Below are 21548 nucleotides of genomic sequence, written 5' to 3' on the forward strand. Positions count from 1 at the left end.
GTATAAGTGAACTTCTGGGGTAGCCTGTTTTACATATTAAAAGTAAGTCATGCGGCCGGGTACAGTGGCTCACGCCTGTAATCCCAGTACTTTGGAGGCTGAGGTGGGCAGATCACCTGAGGTCAGGAGTTTGAAACCAGCTTGGCCAACATGGTGAAACTCCCTCTCTACAAAAACACAAAAATTAGCTGGGCATGATGGTGGGTGCCTGTAGTCCCAGCTACTTGGGAGGCTGAAGTGGGAGAATCACTTGAACCCTGGAGGCGGAGGTTGCAGTGAGCCAAGATGGTGTCACTGCACTCCAGCTTGGGCAACAGAGCGAGACTCCTTCTCAAAAAAAAAAAAAAAAAAGGATATCATGTTGGGTGACTTAGGACCCTGAACTCGAATTCAGGAAGGATTACTGATGTATTCTGCAGAGGTTAAGTGGTACACAAAACACCCTATAAATGGGTCCTGTCCTTAGAGTCTTGGACAAGAAGACCTGGTTTCTGAGAACAGCTCTGTTATTAAAAAGACATACGGCTTAGTCTATAAAGTTTTTTGGCCACGATGGTATTTAAAAAGCTTTCAGTTGTAGGTGCCTTCATATGGGGTATGCATCTTCTCTTTGCCAGAGTCCCCACACTACCTATTAATTATATCTGACTTTCATTTTACCTACCTGGCCTAGTCCCTGCTACCATTTGAATTTCTGACACTTGACAGGAGGAGGGACAATGACATTAACCCTGGGACAACTGCAGCATTCCGGGGGTAGGTACAGGAGTAAGAAGTAATCAGTGAAGAAAGATAGAAGGTCACTAGGAAAAAAATGCTGTTTTGGAAACAAAAGGTCTTTCAATACAGAGGTGATATTGGTACAGAAACTTCAAATAGAGGCCAGGCACAGTGGCTCATTCCTGTAATCCCAGCACTTCAGGAGGCTGAGGTGGGTGGATCACCTGAGGTCAGGAGGTTGAGGCCAGCCTGGCCAACATGGTGAAGCCCCATCTCTACTAAAAATACAAAAAATTAGCCGGGTGTGGTGGCACGTGCCTGTAATCCCAGCTACTCGGGAGGCTGAGGCAGGAAAATCGCTTCAATCTGGGAGGTGGAGGTTGCGGTGAGCCGAGATCACGTCATTGCACTCCATCCTGGGCAACAAGAGCGAGACTCCGTCTTAAATGAAAACAAAACAAAACAAAAAACAACAACAACTAAAAGAAAGTTCAAATAGAATAAGAACAAAGCGTTGGCAATTAGGAGATTACTGGTAGTGAAGGAAAGTTTCAGTGGTACAGTTGGGACAAAAACCAGATTGAAATCATGTTAAGCAATGTGAGAGGTTCAAATACGACTAATAACTAGTGTAACTTTGACTATAAAGTCATGATTCAGACTTGGAATCCAGCCCTCCCACTGATATGTAGCAATCATCACCAAGCTAATGCATTTCCAGAAAAAATAAACTTTCAGTGATGAATCTTAGCTACATTATCATACTGACTCAGGTTGATAGAAGGATCTTAATGGGGTCACTGGGGAATATAAATGAGATGCCAAGTAGAAAACATGTTAATTTCTTGGCACAAGGAAGCCCGAGGTGTTCTGGAAGCCACTAATGCATTTTACATGATTGCTTAATTTCAGGAAATCCTGACTCACTGCCTCTATAGGGTAAGAAGCAAAGGCTGGTCTCAATTTACAATCCTACAAACCAGCTTTGAGTAGAGCTTAGATTATTCCTGGCATCAATATGTCTGCTCAGTGCCTATTTTAATTTGAAAATGTTTTGGTATATGTATATTCTATTTTCTTTGAGAAAAAGCAGGCTTCATTTGGAATGTTCTGAAAACCATTGTGACTAAATAGGTAAGGTAACACCTCCTCACTTAACTTTTGAATGGACATGGAGTGGCGTCATCATATCTACAGTCAGACCACTGAGCCATTGAAAAATGGTCCAGGTGAAGCTTGAATAAAGAAAAATAAGACGAAAGTTAGAACTAGCTTGCTAGCATTGGGTAATGAAAGAAGCAGAATGATACTCATAATGTCACTGAAAATGCACCCATTTTATTATTTAATGTTCCTGATAATGCGTTCATAGTAGTTATTATTAACCCTACTTCATATAGGCGAATAACATGAAAAGGAATAATTAGACAATTTAGCTAAAGTCACACGGTAAACCAGTGAAGATCCAGGGTTAGAATTCAAATAGGATCAGTGTCACTCCAGATTTGTCCTCCATCTACTCCCTCTCCTACCTTCCTCAGCAACAATTCCAAACCTTCCTTACAAGCCCATCACGCAACACTTAGCTGCTCTCTCAAATCCTGATGAATGGCCTTGTGTCCCACTTGGCTGAGAAAGCTGAGATCCTTTCCTTTCTGTGTTATCTGATTGTGTGCATTCCTACCCATCCTCATCTCTTTTCCCCTAGGCTCTCTTCCTTCCATGTGAAGCCAAGCACCCATGTGTTTGACCCATTGCCTCTCCCACACACCTTTTTTTTTTTGAGATGTAGTCTCTCCCTGTCACCCAGGCTAGAGTGCAGTGGCGCAATCTCGGCTCACTGCAACCTCCGCCTCCCAGGTTCAAGCAATTCTCCTGCCTCAGCCTCCCAAGTAGCTGGAACTACAGGCGCACACCACTGCACCTGGCTAATTTTTGTATTTTTAGTTGAGACAGGGTTTCACCATGTTGGCCAGGCTGGTCTTGAACTCCTGACCTCGTGATCTGCTCACCTCAGCCTCCCAAAGTGCTGGGATTACAGGTGGGACCCACCGTGCCTGGCCTCCTACACACTTTTATTTCCCCTTCTTAACTGGTATCTTCCCCTCAGCTTATCAATATCTTGAGTTTTTCCCAGGTTAAAAAGCTCTTCCTTTGATTGTCAAAGCCAATCTAGCTGTTCCCTGTCTTATTCAAATTTCTCCAGTTGTTTCTACTTCCCACCTCCCCATTTCTCTTCAATTCACTTATCTCCCCACTACCCTGAAATCTGGTTTCTTCTGAAGTGTGTCCCTCCACCCCCATCCCAAAATTATATGTTGAAGTCCTAATTTCCAACACCTCAGAATGTGACTGTATTTGGAGATAGGGTCTTTTTTATTTTATTTTATTTTATTTTGAGACAGAGTCTCGCTCTGTCACCAGAGTGGAGTGCAGTGGCACAATCTCAGCTCACTGCAACCTCCGCCCCCGGGGTTCAAGCGATTCTCCTGCGTCAGCCTTGCAAGTAGCTGGGACTACAAGCGTGTGCCTCCACGCCCAGCTAATTTTTGTATTTTTAGTAGAGACAGGGTTTCACCATGTTGGCCAGGCTGGTCTTGATCTCTTGACCTTGTGATCTACCCTCCTTGGGCTCCCAAAGTGTTGGGATTACAGGCATAAGCCACTGCGCCCCACTGAGATAGGGTCTTTAAAGAGGTAATGAAGTCAAAATGAGTTCACAAGGGTAGGCCCTAATCCAATATGACTGGTGTCCTTATAAGAAGCGATTAGGACACAGATACATGCACAGATGGACAACTGTGTAAGGCCATGTGAAGACGCTGAGAGAAGACAGTTACCTGCATGTCAAGGAGAGAGGCCTCAGAAGAAACCAACCCTGCTGACACCTTAATCTCTGATGTCTAGCCTCCAGAACTGCGAGAATGTAAATTCCTGTTGTTTAAGCCACCCAGTCTGTGATACTTTGTTACGGCAGCACTGGCAAATTTATCCAGGCAGTTTGAAAGAGTTCTTACTAAGGTCACCAATGACCTTCCAATTGTAAAAATCTAATGAACATATTTTCAGTCCTTATTCTACTGGAATTTTCTTCTGTATATGACATAAAAGACCAATGTATTGGTGTCCCTGATACTCTTTTGGGCTTCTTCATAGCCTTTTATTTGTTTCCTTTCTTTTCCACGGGTTCTTCTTTCCTTCTCAGACATTGACGTTCTCCTGGATCCAGTGCTACACCACTGCTCTTTTCATTACATTCTTCTCTAGGATGATCTCATCCTTTCTTATGGTTTTAATATAGCAGACTCAGAAATTGGAAGGGAGGCTCTAAAATTAGTGTGTAAGGCAAAAATATTGCATGTAAATTTACCCTTGAAAATTCCTTAGCAAAGTACTTAGAATTAGACATAGTACAACAAAGTGGCTTACCTGTTAGTGATGTGAGGAACTGAGATGAAATGAGGGAAGAGACTCTCATTTTCCATTGCAAACTCACTTTGGTGCATATGCTGAGTGGGGAAATTATTCTGTTTAGTTTGTTTTTCTCTCTCTCCATTTTGCCGTCTGTGTTTGATTGAATTTGCACAGGTTAAATGTACATGTGATGATGTACATTGTACTGGCATACTTGCTTATCCTAAACCTCTCTCTCTCAGATCTTTCTTCTGAGCTTCAGACACATACAGCAACTTCTACCTGAACGTCTCCCCTTGGAAATCTCAGACTTCTTAAGCTCAAACTCAAAAAAGATGCCTTCATTTTTCCCTTAATGGCCCTTTGTTCTGAATTCTCAGTGTGAGCATCCATGAGTCAGTTAAGTCATCCATGATGTTTCCCTTTTCCTCTTCATCGAAAAAAAGAGGTTGCAAATGGATCTGTGGGCCATCGTGTTTGGCTTCCATTGAAAGAATTTAAATTTGTTGCCACTATTTAAAAATGAGGATGTTTTGCATTTTAAATGCCAAATTCTAGATTCTTTTGAAAAACTAGAGTCTTTGGCAACGTTGGAGCCATACTCCAGTATAGCCAAGATCAGCCAGAAGAGAAAGGCAGCTGTTTTTTGTTTTTTTGTTTTGTTTTTTTTTTTTTTTTTTTGAGATGGAGTTTCGCTTTGTCACCCAGGCTGGAGTGCAGTGGTGCAATCTCGGCTCACTGCAAACTCCACCTCCCGGGTTCAAGCTATTCTCCCACCTCAGCCTCCCAAGTTGCTGGGACTATAGGTGTGTGCCACCATACCCGGCTAATTTTTGTATGTTTTAGTAGAGATGGGGTTTCACCATGTTGGCCAGTTGGTCTCAAACTCCTGACCTCAAGTGGTCCACCTGCCTTGGCTTCCAAACTGCTAGGATTAAAGGCGTGAGCCACCACACCCAGCTGCAGCTGTCTTCTTTAGATGGGGGCATGCCCTGTACATCTGTCACTACTTACAGTCTTTTCTTGAGTCTCTGCACTTGTTTATGTTACCTGACTAGCTCCTATAGGCATTTTAATTTAGAACTCCCAATATACTTTCATATTTATCTTCTCCTTTCAGTCCTTACTAATATCCTGCCCCATCTCCATCATTGCTTTCTTGGGCTACTGAAATAGCCTCCAAACTGGTCCTTCTTCCAGTTCATCTGCAGCAAAATCCATTTAAAATACATGTCTGATCATGCCACAACACCACACACTTGCTTGGGAGCCTTTAGTATCTCTCTTCCTACAGTGGTGTTTTTCAAAGTACCGTCTAAGGACTTTTTTTTTTTTTTTTTTTTTTTTTGAGACGGAGCCTCGCTCTGTCGCCCAGGCTGGAGTGCAGTGGAGCGATCTCGGCTCACGGCAAGCTCCGCCTCCCGGTTTCACGCCATTTTCCTGCCTCAGTCCCCAGAGTAGCTGGGACTACAGGCGCCCGCCATCACGCCCGGCTAATTTTTTTGTATTTTTAGTAGAGACGGGGTTTCACTGTGTCAGCCAGGAATGGTCTCGATCTTCTGACCTCGTGATCCGCCTGTCTTGGCCTCCCAAAGTGCTGGGATTACAGGCGTAAGCCGCCGCGCCCGGCCGGTCTAAGGACTTTCTATATCGCAATTACCTATGGTGCTTGGACAAATGCAGATTACTGTGTCCAACCCAGACTTACTGAACTAGAAGCTCTGGGATCAGGGCCTTAGATTCTGTACTTTTTAGTAATTTTCGTAGGGAATACTGATATACTCTAAACTTTGAGACCCACTGATCTATAGAGTAAAGCCCAAGCTTCTTAATATGCATTGATGAGTTCCTGAGAATTCCTTGTTAAATTTAAGCCATAGTTTAAACATATTAAATTTTGTCTTGTAAAGAAAATATGTGATGTGTTACTCTATAAAGAATCCCTTAAAAATGTAGTTCTTTTAACATTTTTTAGAAAGTGCAAGTGATATGATCTTTATGTGGGACAGACTCTAATACCAACAGCTGATAATTCATAGCAGTGGAAGAAGGGTACATTGAGAAGGTCAAAATCCGAATAAATTTTTAACTCATACTTGTAGAAATCTTAGAGGGCTTCCCCTGGACAAGAGCTCACAGCTCCAATGTGCTCCATGAGAAAAATCAACAAAATGCCAAATATTAAAAAGAAAGCACAGAGGGTCAACCTTTACAGATGACTGGCACTATGAAGTGTAAGATGTAGAGGCAAATTTATATCCTATTCCAGGACAAGGCACAGGGAGGGAAGAAATAAAAGTCAATCGCCAATGGAAAAAACGACACGGAATTAAAAGAATCCCCAAATGTTGGTACTCTTTTCTCCTACTCATGGCTACTTACCGCCAAGTACCATAGTTCTAGGCACAGTCATATCACAATGGAAACCTGAAGATGCCACTTGCTTTGCTCTTGGTAGTGATCTATTGAAAATGAACCCAGGAGGCGGAGGTTGTAGTGAGCCGAGAACTCACCATTGCACTCCAGCCTGGGCAACAAGAGCAAAACTCCGTCTCAAAACAAAAAAACAAAAACAAAAACAAACAAACAACTGAGAACAAATCCTTTAGCATTCTCAAATACACCCACTTAAGAACTGAGGTGTTAGATTATGTTTTTTTTTCCTAGTTTACAAGTAACTAAGTAATGTCAGACAGGATAAAATACCTGGCTACATTGAGGACAAATGACATCCATCACTTCCTCCCGTTCCAACAGACAAATAACTCTGTTGAAAAAAATTACATTAATTTGACAAGAGATATTTCTTCCAGAGCTATGCTGGTTTATTACTTGATAACTTTTCCACTTCTGTTTGCAAATCAATTACAAAACATATTTTCCCCACTCTTGTTCTGCCTTTCAGAAACTTCTGAACCAGTCAACATCACTGTTTATACTCAAAAGATACAGGTTTTTTTTCATCTGTTAAGTCTTTTCTTGTAAACAATGTTGAGTGACTCATTTAATCAGCTTTGAGGGTATATACTATGTACAGCTAAATGTAAACATAATCCCATACATTACTGCAAATGAGGAAACCATCACCATGTTGGCAATGGCACTTTGGCTAGGTGGAGGAGGAGACTGTCAAAATTTTGTCCAGTATCACAGACTGATTGTGTTAGTCCATTCTCGAGTTGCTACAAAGAAGTACCTGAGACTGGGTAATTTATAAAGAAGTTTAATTGGCTCATGGTTCTGCAGGCTGTACAGGAAGCATGATTCTGGCATCTGCTTGGCTTCCGGGCAGGCTTTCAGAAACTTATAATCATGGTGGAAGATGAAGCAGGAGGGGGCACTTCGAATGGCCAGGAGCAGGAGGAAAGGAGAGACGGGGGAGATGCTACATGCATTTTTTTTTTTTCTTGAGCCAGGGTCTTTGCTCTGTTGCCCAGGCTGGAGTGGAAGTGGTGCAGTCTCGGTTCACTGCAGCCTTGACATCTGGGCTCAAGTGATCCTTTTATCTGAGCCTCCAGAGTAGCTGGGACCACAGTCTTGCACCACAACATCCGGCTATTTTTTTGTATTTTTGGTAGAGATGAGGCTTTGCCGTGTTGTCCAGGCTGGTCTCGAACTCCTGGACTCAGGCAATCCACCTGCTGCTGCCTCCCAAAATGCTGGGATTACGGGCGTGTGCCACCATGCCCGGCTGCTGTGTACTTTTAAACAACCAGATCTCATGATAACTCACTCAGTATCGTGATAATAGCACCAAGGGGATGGTGCTAAACCATTCATGAGAATTCGTCCCCATGATCTAATCACCTCCCATCACGCCCCATCTCCAACATTGGGGATTACAATGGAACATGAGATTTGGGTGGGGACAAAGTCCCAAACCCTATCACTGATAGCCTCTGAACATAGGTTGTACACAGAGCCTCTGACAGTCTAGATTTACGTTGATTTTTTTCCTTGCAAATCTTTATAAGTTCAAGTTAATCATTAACGCACAGAATATTACGAAAGGTGAGTTCGTGCTCTCTAGAGAAACAGAGCCAATAGAATCTGTCATTTCTTTCTGTATCTAAATATATTTTAAGATTTTTTTTCTATTTTAAATAATTGGTTTATGCAATTGTGGGGACTGGGAAGTCTGAAATCTGTACTATAGTCCAGCAGGCCGGAAATGCAGTTAGGAGCTGATGCAGCAGCTTTGAGTCTGAAACCTCTAGGGAGGGCCAGCAAGCAGGAAGCTCAAGCAGGGTTTCTATGTTGTAGTCTTGAGGCAGAATTCTTTCTACTTTGGGAAAGCTCAGTCTTTATTCTTAAGGTCTTCAACTGATTGGGTGAGGCCACCTACATTATAGTGGTAATCTGCTTTTATAAATGTTAATCATGTCTAAAAATTACCTTCACAGCAACATCTACACTAGTGTTTGACCAACAGTTGGGTACCATAGCCTAGCCATGGTAACACATCACAAGAGGGAATGTCAAACTATTTAAAACAAATTACTGGACTCATGAATATGATGCTCATGTACACCACCTACAGATAAGGAGACCAGATATACAGAATTACTGACTTGTGTAGGGGGGTAGTGGGCAGGTGTCCTATACTAGTTCTACTTTAAGGTTGAGAGGGTCTTGTGTGAAGATAACTTAGAGATGTTTATATAGCATTGGCATTTTTTTTTTTTTCGAGACAAAGTTTTGCTCGTCTCCCAGGATGGAGTGCATGGCATGATCTCGGCTCACTGCAACCTCTGCTTCCTGGGTTCAAGCGATTCTCCTGCCTCAGCCTCCCCAGTAGCTGGGATTTCAAGCACCTGCCACCATGCCCGGCTAATTTCTTTGTATTTTTAGTAGAGACACGGTTTCACCATGTTGGGCAGGTTGGTCTCGAACTCCTGACTTCAGGTGATCCGCCCGCCTCGGCCTCCCAAAGTGCTGGGATTACAGGAGTGAGCCACCGCGCCTGGCCTGGAAAGTACCTTACAAAGCTGATGAAGTTGCTTTGCTCTAATTAGAAATCTAGGAGGCAAAAAAAAAAAAGAAATCTAGGAGGCAAATTCTCGTTTCCAGTTAAATCATTGATGTGCCTGACCAATGGATGTCACTCAGAATTTCTCAAACAGTCCTAAAAACAAGTCTGAAGTGAGAAAAATACCCCTTAAGGCAAAATAAACATATATTAAATATATATAAAAATCACCCAAATGCATTGAGCCGTAGGTGAGTAGGTGTTGAAGTTTTCAAACACGGCTCTAAGATTTTTTTGACATCCCTACATTCGGTCTATGTCCCCTTCTCCTGAATCTGGCCTTTGGGACTGCTTGACCCATAGAAGATGGTAGAAATGACACTGTGCCATTTCTGGGCCTAGGCCTCAAGAAATTGGCAGTTTTCACTTTCTGCCTCTTAGGATGCTTACTTTCTTACTTTTGGAACCCAATCACCATGCTGTGAGGAAGCCCAAGCTGCTTAATGAAAAGGAACTGACTGCCAGTGTCAGTGTCAGTGTCAGCTGTGTGAGTAATCCATCTTGGACAGGCATATGCTAGCCCCAGCTGAGCTACTCCAGCCAATACCTTGTAGATCACAGATAAGGGCTCCTCACTGAGCCCTGCCCAAATTAGATTTGTAACGCAAATAGATAATTGCTTTTTAAATTTTTGAGACAGAGTCTCGTTGTGTCGCACAGTCTGGAGTGCAGTTGTGTGCTCATGGCTCACTGCAGCCTCAACCTTCTGGGTTCAAGTGATCCTCCCACCTGAGCCTCCTGAGTAGCTGGGACTACAGGCATGCAACAACACAACCAGCTAATTTTTTATTTTTTGTAGAGGAGGGGGTCTCACTATGTTGCCCAGGCTAGTCTTGAATTCCTGGGCTCAAGCAATCCTCTCACCTTGGCCTCTCCCAAAGTGCTGGGATTACAGGTATGAGCCAATGCCCACCTGATGTTTTAAACCAGGGATGTCCAACCTTTCGGCTTCTCTGGGCCACATTTGAAGAACTGTCTCGGACCACACATAAAATATGTCTAATACATAAAATAGTCTAAAAATAGTTAATGAGCTAAAAAAAAAAATTGCAAAGGCTGGGCGTGGTGACTCACGCCTGTAATCCCAGCACTTTGGGAGGCCAAGGTGGGTGGATCACGAGGTCAGGAGATCGAGACCATCCTGGCTAACACGGTGAAACCCCATCTCTACTAAAAAATACAAAAAACTAGCTGGGTGTGGTGGCGGGCACCTGTAGTCCCGGCTACTTGGGAGGCTGAGGCAGGAGAATGGTGTGAACCCAGGAGATGGAGCTTGCAGTGAGCCAAGATCACGCCACTGCACTCCAGTCTGGGTGACAGAGCAAGACTCTCAAAAAAAAAAAAAATTCTTTAAAAAAAAAAATTGCAAAAAAACTCATAATGTTTTAAGAAACTATGAATTTATGTTAGGTTGCATTCAAAGTCATCTTGGGCCACAGTTTGGACAAACTTGTTTTATTTATTTGTTTATTTATTTATTTGAGATGGAGTTTCACTCTTGTCACCAAGGCTGAAGTGCAATGGCATGATCTTGGCTCACTGCAACCTCCACCTCCCGGGTTCCAGTGATTCTCCTGCCTCAGCCTCCCAAGTAGCTGGGATTACAGGCAGGCACCACCATGCCTGGCTAATTTTTGTATTTTTAGTTGAGACGGGGTTTCACCATGTTGGCCAGGCTGGTCTCGAACTCCCGACCTCAGGTGATCCGCCCACCTCAGCCTCCCAAAGTGCTAGGATTATAGGTATGAGCCACTGTGCCCGGCCACAAGCTTGTTTTAAACCATTAGGTTTAAGGGTGTTTTTTAATGCAGCAATAGAAACTAGACCAGAAGAGGCTTAACTGGGCTCTGGGCTGTGCCTGTGCAGGGTAAAAGGTTGATAGAGTGGATAGGCAAGGGATAGAGCTGGACAAGATTTCATTCCACATGGAGAAGAACTGAATCCTATATTGTTGGGCTGAAATGAAGAGATATGGACTTAAAGAAGACAAGTTAGGATGGGTGTGGTGGCTCACGCCTGTAACAATCCCAACACTTTGGTTTGCTGAGGTGGGTGGATCACCTGAGGTCGGGAGTTTGAGACCGGCTTGGCCAGCATGGCAAAACCCCGTTTCTACTAAAAATACAAAAAATTAGCCAGGCATGGTGGCAGGCGCCTGTAATTCCAGCTACTTGGGAGGCTGAGGCAGAAGAATTGCTTGAACCCAGGAGGTGGAGATTGCAGTAAGCCGAGATCGCGTCGTTGCACTCCAGCCTGGCAACGACAGAGCAAGACTCTGTCTTAAAAAAAAAAAAAAAAAGACGAGTTACTCATTGTTCATAGGAGAAGGTTAGGCAGGAAAATGTAGAAATCACATCAGTTTGAGCTATAGGTCAGTATCCAGATGTTCATGTTAAAAGTAGAAACACAATTCAGGCCAGGAGAATAGATTTTAAAAATCTGTTATGGCAAATAGGGTAGTCTACATGGGCACATGAGGATTCATGATCTGGGAGATCAGGCAACAGGAATCAGGGACTTAGGTGGAAAGTCTGAATGCAGGAGGAGGTAAAACCAGCCCCAAGAACCCTTTGTATTAGTTACAGTGGGGATGGGGACATAAAGTGAAGATCTTAGATAAGGATCAAATTATTCCAAGAATGGAGCTCCATGGTCTTTCATTGGGCCTAGAATTGAGATTAGTATTTAGCTCAAAGATGGGGGTGGGGGATAGTGGTAGAATCAATGACCAAGTATGGTGTGAACTAATAGGCACTTACCATTAGTTAACATAACTAGGGAATAAAGATCCTTTAAGCATATTTGAGAATATTAAAATGAACATTGGGATCTCAAAAAATTTAACATTTATACTTAGGTTTGTCTTTTTTTGTTCTCAAAGTAAACTGATGTGTAGTTTTAAAAAGAAAATTGTAGGCCGGGCACGGTGGCTCATGCCTGTAATCCCAGCACTTTGGGAGGCCGAGGCACAAGATGCTGAGTTCGAGACCAGCCTGACCAACATGGTGAAACCCCGTCTCTACTAAAAATACAAAAACTAGCCAGGCATGGTGGCACGCCCCTGTAGTCCCAGCTACTCAAGCGGCTGAGGCAGGAGAATTGCTTGAACCCGGGAGGTGGAGGTTGCAGTGAGCCGAGATACGCCATTGCACTCCAGCATGGGCGACAGAGCAAGACTCCATCTCAAAAAAAATAAAAAAATAAAATAAAAAGGCAAGTCATAGCTGGAAAGGGTAGCGGGGAAGTGGTCGTTGGGGAATTGGGGAGAGTTAACGGGTATGAAAAAAATAGAATAAGACCTAGTATTTGCTAGCGCAGCAGGGTGACTATAGTAAAAAATAATTTTTTTTTTTGAGACAGTCTCGCTCTGTCGCCCAGGCTGGAGTGCAGTGGCCAGTCTCGGCTCACTGCAATCTCCACCTCCCAGGTTCACACCATTTTCCTGCCTCAGCCTCCCGAGTAGCTGGGACTACAGGCACCCCCCACCACGCCTGGCTAATTTTTTGTATTTTAGTAGAGACGGGGTTTCACCGTGTTAGCCAGGGTGATCTCGATCTCCTGACCTCGTGATCCGCCTGCCTCGGCCTCCCAAAGTGCTGGGATTACAGGCGGGAGCCACTGCACCTAGCCAAAAATAATTATTGTACATTTAGAAATAACTAAGAGCATAATTGGGTTGTTTGCATCACAAAGGATAAATGCTTAAGGTGATGGATACCCTATTTACCCTGATGTAATTGCATGCCTGTATCAAAATAGCTCATGTAATCCATAAATATATACACCTACTGTGTACCTACAAAAATGAAAAGCAAATTGTATACTAGAAGCTCCTAAAGAGGTTAGTGGTCATTAATGAAAGCACTAGATAAAGCACTTTGTGTTTACATAGGCATAACTGAATATCTGCTGATTGTTCAAAACCTTTAGAGTTGATCTTATTAGATTCTGTCATTCCATTGTTTAAGGTTTTTTCCATTCTGGTTTTATTCTAAAAGTAACTTAGAATACAGCTAAATTCTCAAGATGGGTTGAACTGTATCCTCTTTGCTTACCTTTTCAATCTCATTTCCCTACCACTCTTGCCCCTGGCTCACTAGGTTCCAGACATGTTGCCCTTCTTTCAGGTATGTGGAACTGCTAGACTTTCTCCTAAGTCAGGTCATTGCACAGGCTTTTCCCTGAATGGAAGGCATTTCAGTTTACTCTTTCCCTGGATGGCTTCTGTTCATCTTTTAGGCCTGTTTAAATGTTACACCCTTAGACATCCCTAAACGCATTTATGCCCCCTTTGTAATTCTCTCCTAGTAACTTTTCTTCATTGCTTTTCATGTAACTGTAATTGTGTATTTGCACTTTAGGTGTTCAGTGGTGGCCACTCCCATTACAATGTGACCTCTACCAGATGGGAGGACATTATGGATTTTTTCATGACTGAAGCTCGGGCACAGGAAAATGAGTTAAAATCCAATAAAGTGAGAGAAGGCAGAAGAGGCAAATTGAGAGAATTAAAAACACCTTTCAAAGAATTGCAGTCTCACAACTTTTTGGGGGAGGGCAAAGTGCTTTATTACATCTAAATGGTCCCAGATTGAGTCTTCTCTTCATGAGCGATCAAGAAGCTCTAGGATGTGCAGAAGTTGGAGCCCTCATACCTTGCTGGTGGGAATGCAAAATGGTGTAGCCGCTTTGCAAGTTTGGTAGTTCCTCAAAAAGCTAACCAGCATGACTCAATAATTCCACTCCTAGGTATCTAACAGAAATGAAAACATTTGCACACAAAAGTTGTACATGAAAGAGTACAGCTGCATTCATAATAGCAAAAACAAAAACAAAAAAATCCCCAAATGTCTACCAAATAATAAATAAAATGTGGTATATCCATACAAGGGAATGTTGTTCAACTATAAAAAGGAATGAAGTATACGCTATACTAAGGATAAGCTGTGAAGACATGCTAAGTGAAAGATGCCAGACAAAAGGCCTAAGTGATAATTCATTTATACAAACTGTGCATAATAGGGACATCTAGAGACAGAAAGTAGATTAGTGGTTGCCCAGTGCTGGGGAAGTAGGTGTGAGGGTGACCATTAATAGATATAGGGTTTTTTGGGGGTGATAAAATGTTCTAAATTTAAATTGTGGTGATAGTTCCACAATTCTGAATATCAGGTTGAGCATTCCTAATCTGAAAATTTGAAATCCAAAAAGCTCCTAAATCTGAAACTTTTTGGGCATCGACATGACACTCAAGGGAAATGCTCACTACAGCATTTCAGATTTTTGGATTAGGAATGTTCAACTGATAATACACGTACCTCCAAATCTGAAATTCAAAACACTTCTGTCCCAAGCATTTTGGATCAGGGATACTCAACCTGTCTTAAAAAGTCATTGACTTGTACACTCCAAATGGGTCAACTTTTTATGTGAATTATATCTCAATAAAAATGTTTAAAAAGATGGCCAGGTGCGGTGGCTCACGCCTGTAATTCCAGCATTATGGGAGGCCAAGGCAGGCAGATCACCTGAGGTCAGGAGTTGGAGACCAGCCTGGCCAACATGGTGAAACCCCGTCTCTACTAAAAATACAAAAATTAGCCAGGCACGGTGGCAGGCATCTGTAATCCCAGCTATTCGGGAGGCTGAGGCAGGGGAATCGTTTGAACCCAGGAGGCGGAGGTTACAGTGAGCTGAGATTGCGCCATCGCACTCCAGCCTGGGGAACAAGAGCGAGACTTCGTCTCAAAAAAAAAAAAAAAAAAAAATTAACAAAGTGACAGATGACTCTTGTTACCTATGGTAAAGTCCTTGGAGCCATTGAAGTAGTGAATGCTGAACCACTGCTTCCAGGAAAAATAGAGAGGTTCCTGGGAGACTCTCATCACTGACTTCCGTCAGTCAACCAACATGTAACATTGTTTTTACGTTGTTTCTGTTTAAAGATATATTATTTTATATTAATATATTAAAATTGAATGGCCAATAGCACTGTAACTCATGCCTGAATAAAGCTATCTGAAACACTTATTTTTTCTGGGAGGTCTTCTTGTACTCAGAATGCCAGATAGCACTTTATTACTAAGCTTGGGGTCATTTTAAACAGTAAAACCCCAACAAAAAGGAGAAAAATGTGAAATATGTGGCACTAAATACTGTTAAAAGGACACTCATTTGTAGTATGAGAGTTGAAACAATGGTGTCACCTTGTTCGACCTCAGCTGGGAACATGTAGGTTGGGCACTCAAATATTTGGATGCTCTGTGCATACTGTGAATGACTATGGAAGTGCTGTATTATGGGGTTACAAAGACATTTTAGCAAACTGGTGAATTCAAAAAGGGAATCTGTGAAAAATGACGAAAAAATATATGATAAAAACCATTTCTATCAAAAAAAATTTTTTTTTTAAGTTCTGAATTTCAAGGTCTAAACTTCAACCTCTTCATACGGCTGGATAGATAAAATACAGTATTTGAGATACATGTTCAGGACTGGTTAAAAGGAAAAGTCTGTTTTAGAGACTTTAATCCTTAGTTTTATTCTTTCAGTATTTCTTCATAACCATGTTTCAGGCTGATTCCTGAGTCAAGGGACAGTTCAAAGGTTAAAGTGTTGTTTGTATTTCATCAGCAAAAGTCTATTTTGAATTTTTGATCACAAATGCAGGACCTATCCTCCCCATAAAGAGTCCTCTGCCACAACAGGATTTAATTAAAAGGCACTTTAATTTTCAAATAAAAGAAATACTTACATCTGATATGTAAGTATACTTGTATCTGGACTATATATATCTGTAATAAGTTGCTCATATCTGGAATCTGTACTCTTACTTCCCATGTATTTGTACATATTTTCATATACTAGCTACTACCAATTTTAATGTCTAAAGTTATTTGCAGTATTTGGTTTCAAAATTTTTATTAATTTTAGAATGGCTTTCAAGCCTCAACTCCTCTTAAAACAGAAAATGTCAGTTCTTGCTCATAGCTCCTTGTAAGAGGTTTTTGCCAAATTCAGAAATTTAGAGATAAATTAACTGCATTAGGTTATAAGTAACATAATTTTGGCAGGGGGAGCAGTCATAAATATCAAATGACTATTACACATCATGTTTGTGATTATGAATAAGCTTAATCAAATGTCTGACTTTGGCTACAAAATGGTACTTTTTGGATCAGTATTTATACCCCTTTATTGGTAATCAGCAGTTTTGTTTCTTTAAAAAGATGTTCTTTGATTATAATTGGTGAAATACAATTGGAATTGGCTGGTTAACTTGAACTTCCCAATTAAAACAGTGGGGCTTTGGTAGACACTTTTATTCATCAGCTTGAGAACTTGGAAGCACTAAGATACTGTGGGGCTCTTCAGCCTCTTTGATCTCTCATAATAACTTGAATACAATAGACTTTTTAGGCATCTCTTCACTTAAAAAAAAAAAAAATACAAACTCAATGCCAGATACTCATTCAACTAGCTCTTCCTGCCTAGAAACCAGTCCAATTAGTTCTCTATGCTAATCGCAGAAGTTTTGAAGTTTCATTCTTCAGTCCCACTATTCTTTTGTATGTGGTGGCAACTCCTCTCTTGTTGTTTTTTCCACTGTCTGTAACTAGCTTATTCTTCCTCTTGTTCTAAACTAGTAATAACCAGTGGGGATTAGTGGCACATTTAACCAGGGCCTTGTACTATCAAAATGATGGCCCTCTCCACTGCTATGGGTGATCAAAAGTAGACCACAGTCTGCCAGGATTTCTTATTTTATTTTGATTAGCCAAATTACTCAGGGCTTATATTCATTATCTTGCTGGCTTTAAAAATATATTTCTTAATTTTAAATATTACATAACACAAACTGCTAGTAAATATTAGTAACTCATCTCTATTCAAAATAAATGCTTTATAGGCCAGGCGTGGTGGCTCACGCCTGTAATCCCAGCACTTTGGGAGGTTGAGGTGGGCAGATCACCTGAAGTCGGGAGTTCAAGACTCGCCTGACCAACCTGGAGAAACCCCGTCTATACTAAAAATACAAAATTAGCTGGGCGTGGTGGCGCATGCCTGTAATCCCAGCTACTCTGAGGCTAAGGCAGGAGAATCGCTTGAACCCGGGAGGCAGAGGTTGCCGTGAGCTGAGATCACGCCATTGCACTCCAGGCCTGGGAAACAAGAACAAAACTCCGTCTCAATAAATAAATACATACATACATACGTACATACTTTATAAACATTCTCTGATAGAGCTGCCTTTATAGATTTCCAACTATCCTTCATTAAAATAATTTAATTCAAAATCAACAGCGAAGTTTCTAGATTATGAAGAATTTATCCTGAGGTAAAGCCGACATAATAGAATATTAGACCAATTTGATCTTATGAAGAAGTCACTTTGAACCACACAGAAGGTTAAGCAAAGAAAAATCATTTTTAATATAAAAATTCTATATCAAGAGATATTCCTTAAATAATATACCAATGAAAATGTGTTCATAAATGAAAAAACTTTGAAAAATAAAATCAGACAAATATAAAGCACTATTACCAACAATAAGATGTTATAAGTTTTAAATATTACAGCCATTTTTACATTTTGGCTAAAAAAAGGGCTTACATGAAAAAAATGCATTGAAAAACATCATTTTTAAACATGAAAGAACAAACCAGAAGAATTCCAAATTCAGATAGATTTTTGAAACTTTTTATTTATATTTTGGTCTTACAAATGATCACTTTTAAATGGACTTTTCTGTAAGAATGTAAAACTCAAAAATTTGCCAAGTATGTATCTGATCCACACAAATCCCTAGAAAGGTTTTCTGTGTAGTCTTCATTAACGCAAATCTTTGTGAATGTTTCACTCTTACTGTAGGATCTTGAATATGTTTTACAATAATGAAGCTACAAAGTTTTTATGCAGTGCATTCATTGTAAACTATAAATAACATTTGTATTAAAAAGAAAGCTGGGTAATACAAAAATAGGAGAGACTCTGAGGAGCAGGCAATCTGTTGAGGCTCAGTATATCTTATTTGCTTTGTAGTCTGCTGTCATTCCTTTCAAAGAGCACACAGCACATGAGGCATAGTAATCATCTGTCTTGTTAACCTCTCTAATTTAGAAATCTGTTGTTCGTAAAACTGGACCAATTATCACAAACTATCATTTGCATAATTAACCGCAAGTCTGTTACAAAGCATTTTGTTAGTGGTATCAACAAATGCAGGAGGATGGACATTTATAAAAAATGGGTTTTGTTAAGCTTGCCAACTCCTTAGATATCATGGACTATACTGCCATTTCACGATTTAATTAGATATTTAATGCCTCAAGTAAAAGACTGATCAATGGAAGCAAGCAAAACTAAATTATTTTCTAGGTGCTGTAATATTTCATTTGATAAGGTAACAAAAGGATAGGACAAAATTTAAGCAAGATTTATATGCGTTCCAACTTTTCACTCAGGAATTCTTCTACACTGTCTGTGTTCCATTTGAGAATGCTCAGTTCTTCAGCAATGTTCCCATTGTCGTCCAAAAGCTTTAATACAGGGTCTGAACCACGGACATACTACAAAAAAGAGGGACGTCATCATTACTTTCTGTTCAGAAACAACCTTCTCAGCCTCATCTAAGACAAAGCAATTCAATCCAGTTTAAATTTAGTAATTAAAAAAAGGCTTTTAGACATGACAATAAACAAGTCTTAAAGGAAATCTTTAAGGAGAAGAGTTTTACAGGATTTCGGAAAAAAAGGAGAATTAAAAAAATCACTCATTCATTCATTCATTCATTCATGAGAAAGGGTCTTGCTCTGTCACCCAGGCTGCAGTGTAGTGGCACAATCTCAGCTCACTGCAACCTCCACCTCCCGATTTCAAGTGATCCTCCCACCTCAGCCTCCCTGGGACTAGAAGCAAGTGAAATTACTTTACTTTTAAAGAGAAAAATATCTATTAGTAGCAAGACAGTTTATTGGGGATTTGAGCTTATTATTGAAATTAACAAGTATGTAATGCCCACATGATACTCTCAAATGAACTTAAAATTGAATGGAGGCAGACAAGTTCAAAATAGTTGAGAAAATGATGGTATAAGAGCAATGTTTTAAAATACGCTGTGCATATAAATTTGCAGACACAGAATCAATCACATACTGGATCATACATTTTTCTTGGCTTAACAAATCTAATGATTTTATTTGTAATCAGTTTAGAATTAGGCTGGGTTCCTGAAACTTCAAATCCATTAGTTGGGTCCAATATTTCTCCAGAGAGCTCTGAGAAATTCTAATTCTGGGTAAATGTGACAACAGCCATTCATTAAGAGATCAAATATCCAATTTTAAATTAAGTAGCATTGGATAACTAACAATGTAGTTATGTAGTTCGGCAGTGATGACAGAGTTCTTAGAACTTCTTCCAGAATTATGCTTCAGTTTATCTAGGGTATTCTGGGGTTGTGAACTCCAAAGATGGAGACTAGCTCAGATGTGATTATTAACACTTGGTATATTCCCAACCCATTTGTGGAGTTTAGAAAATAGGCCATCCAGGCTAATGAATCAATAATAACATTACTACTTAACCATTTTTGGTCAGGTTACTTTTTTTTTTTTTTTGGGATGGAGTTTCGCTTGTTGTCCAGGCTAGAGTGCAATGGCGTGATCTCGGTTCACTGCCACCTCTGCCTCCTGGGTTCAAGCAATTCTCCTGCCTCAGCCTCCCGAGTAGCTGGGATTACAGGCCCCTGCTACCACACCCGGCATTTTGTATTTTTAGTAGAGATGGGGTTTCACCATGTTGGCCAGGTTGGTCTCGAACTCCTGACCTCAGGTTATCTGCCCACCTCCGCCTCCCAAAGTGCTGGGATTACATAGGTGGGAGCCACCGCACCCAGCCGGTCAGGTTACTTCTTAAGTTAAGGATTTTTTTTTCTTTTTTGCTTGGATTTGAGATCCCAATATTTAAAAATGTTTATTTATTAAAAAACTTATTATAATCCCAAAAGGAAATAAGAAATTAGATATAATATAGTTGTAAAAATCCTCAACAAAATATTAGCAGTCAAATCCAGCAATGTGTATAAGGAATTATATGCCACAATCAGTTGCAAAACACCTATCTGATAAAGAACTTGTATTCAAAATATACAAAGAACTCTTAAAGCTCAGCTTACCAAACAAACAAACAAACAAACAAACAAAAAACCTCAATTTAAAAGTAGGCAAAAAAACAAAAACAGTAACAGGACCACTCAAACTTATAAACTTCAGTGCATCAAATGAAACAATGAACAGAATGAAAAGACAACCCAGAGAAGGGGAGAAAATATTTGCAAATCATATATATCTGATAAAGGTTTAATATCCAGAATAGATGGAACCTCCACAACTTAACAACAACAACCAAAAATCCCAATTATAAAATGGGCAAAGGACTTGAATAAACAATGTTCTAAAGAAGATAAACAAATGGTCAACAAAATGTTCAACACCATTTATTTTAAGAGAAATGCAAATCAAAGCCACAGTGAGACAGTACCTCATACCTATTAGGATGGCTACTACCAAAAAACAGAAAATAACAAGTGTTGACAAGGATATAGAGATATTGGAACACTTGTGCCCTGTTGGTGGGACTGTAAAATGGTGAAGTCATTACGGAAAACAGTATAGAGGTTCCTCAAAAAATTAAAAATAGAATTACCATATGATCCAGCAATTCCACTTCTTGGAATATAGACTCAAAAGAACTAAGAAAAGGGCCTTGAAGAGGTATTTGCACACCCAAATGTCATAAAAGCATTATTTACAATAGCCAAGGGATGGAAGCAACTCAAATGTCCACTGATGGATGCATGGGTAAAGAAAATGGGAGCTGGGCACAGTGGCTCATGCCTGTAAATCCCCGTTCTTTGGAAGGCTGAGGCAGGAGGATCGCCCGAGCCCAGGAATACAAGACCAGCTTAGGCAACATAGCAAGACCCTATCTCTATAAAAAAATAAAAAAAATTAGCTGGTCATGTTGGTGTGTACCTGTGGTCTCAGAATCTTGGGAGGCTGAGGTGGCGGGATTGCTTGAGCCTTAGAGGGTGAGGATGCAGTGAGCTGTGATCACATCACTGCCTTCCAGCCTGGGTGACAGAGTAAGACCATGTCCAAAAAAAAAAAAAAAAAAAAAAAAGTGTGTGTCTCTGTGTGTGTGTGTGTGTGTGTGTGTGTGTGTGTGTAGTGGAATACTATGCATTCTTAAAAAGGAAGGAAATCCTGTCACACAATACAACATGGATGAACCCTGATCCAAGTAAATCAGTCACAAGGACAAATACTATATGATTCCACTCATAGTAAGTATCTGAAGTAGTCAAAACTATAGAAACAGAAA

General features: G+C 40.7%; 1 protein-coding gene across 4 annotated transcripts in view; it reads right to left on the reverse strand.

The window, feature by feature from the left end:
• Positions 1-17572: 17572 nt before the first annotated feature.
• SELENOF (selenoprotein F) overlaps positions 17573-21548 on the reverse strand; it is a 52133-nt gene continuing 48157 nt past the window's right edge. For all 4 annotated transcript variants that reach the window (NR_144513.1, NR_144512.1, NM_203341.3 and 1 more), the window contains one exon: positions 17573-18733. Coding sequence is in view for 2 of the 4 variants with exons in the window: in NM_004261.5 (NP_004252.2) it covers positions 18602-18733 (132 nt within the window). In the remaining 2 variants the exon portion in view is untranslated. The remainder of the gene's footprint in view (positions 18734-21548) is intronic.

The sequence above is a fragment of the Homo sapiens genome, chromosome 1, assembly GCF_000001405.40.
Source record: "Homo sapiens chromosome 1, GRCh38.p14 Primary Assembly".
NCBI classification, from domain to species: domain Eukaryota; kingdom Metazoa; phylum Chordata; class Mammalia; order Primates; family Hominidae; genus Homo; species Homo sapiens.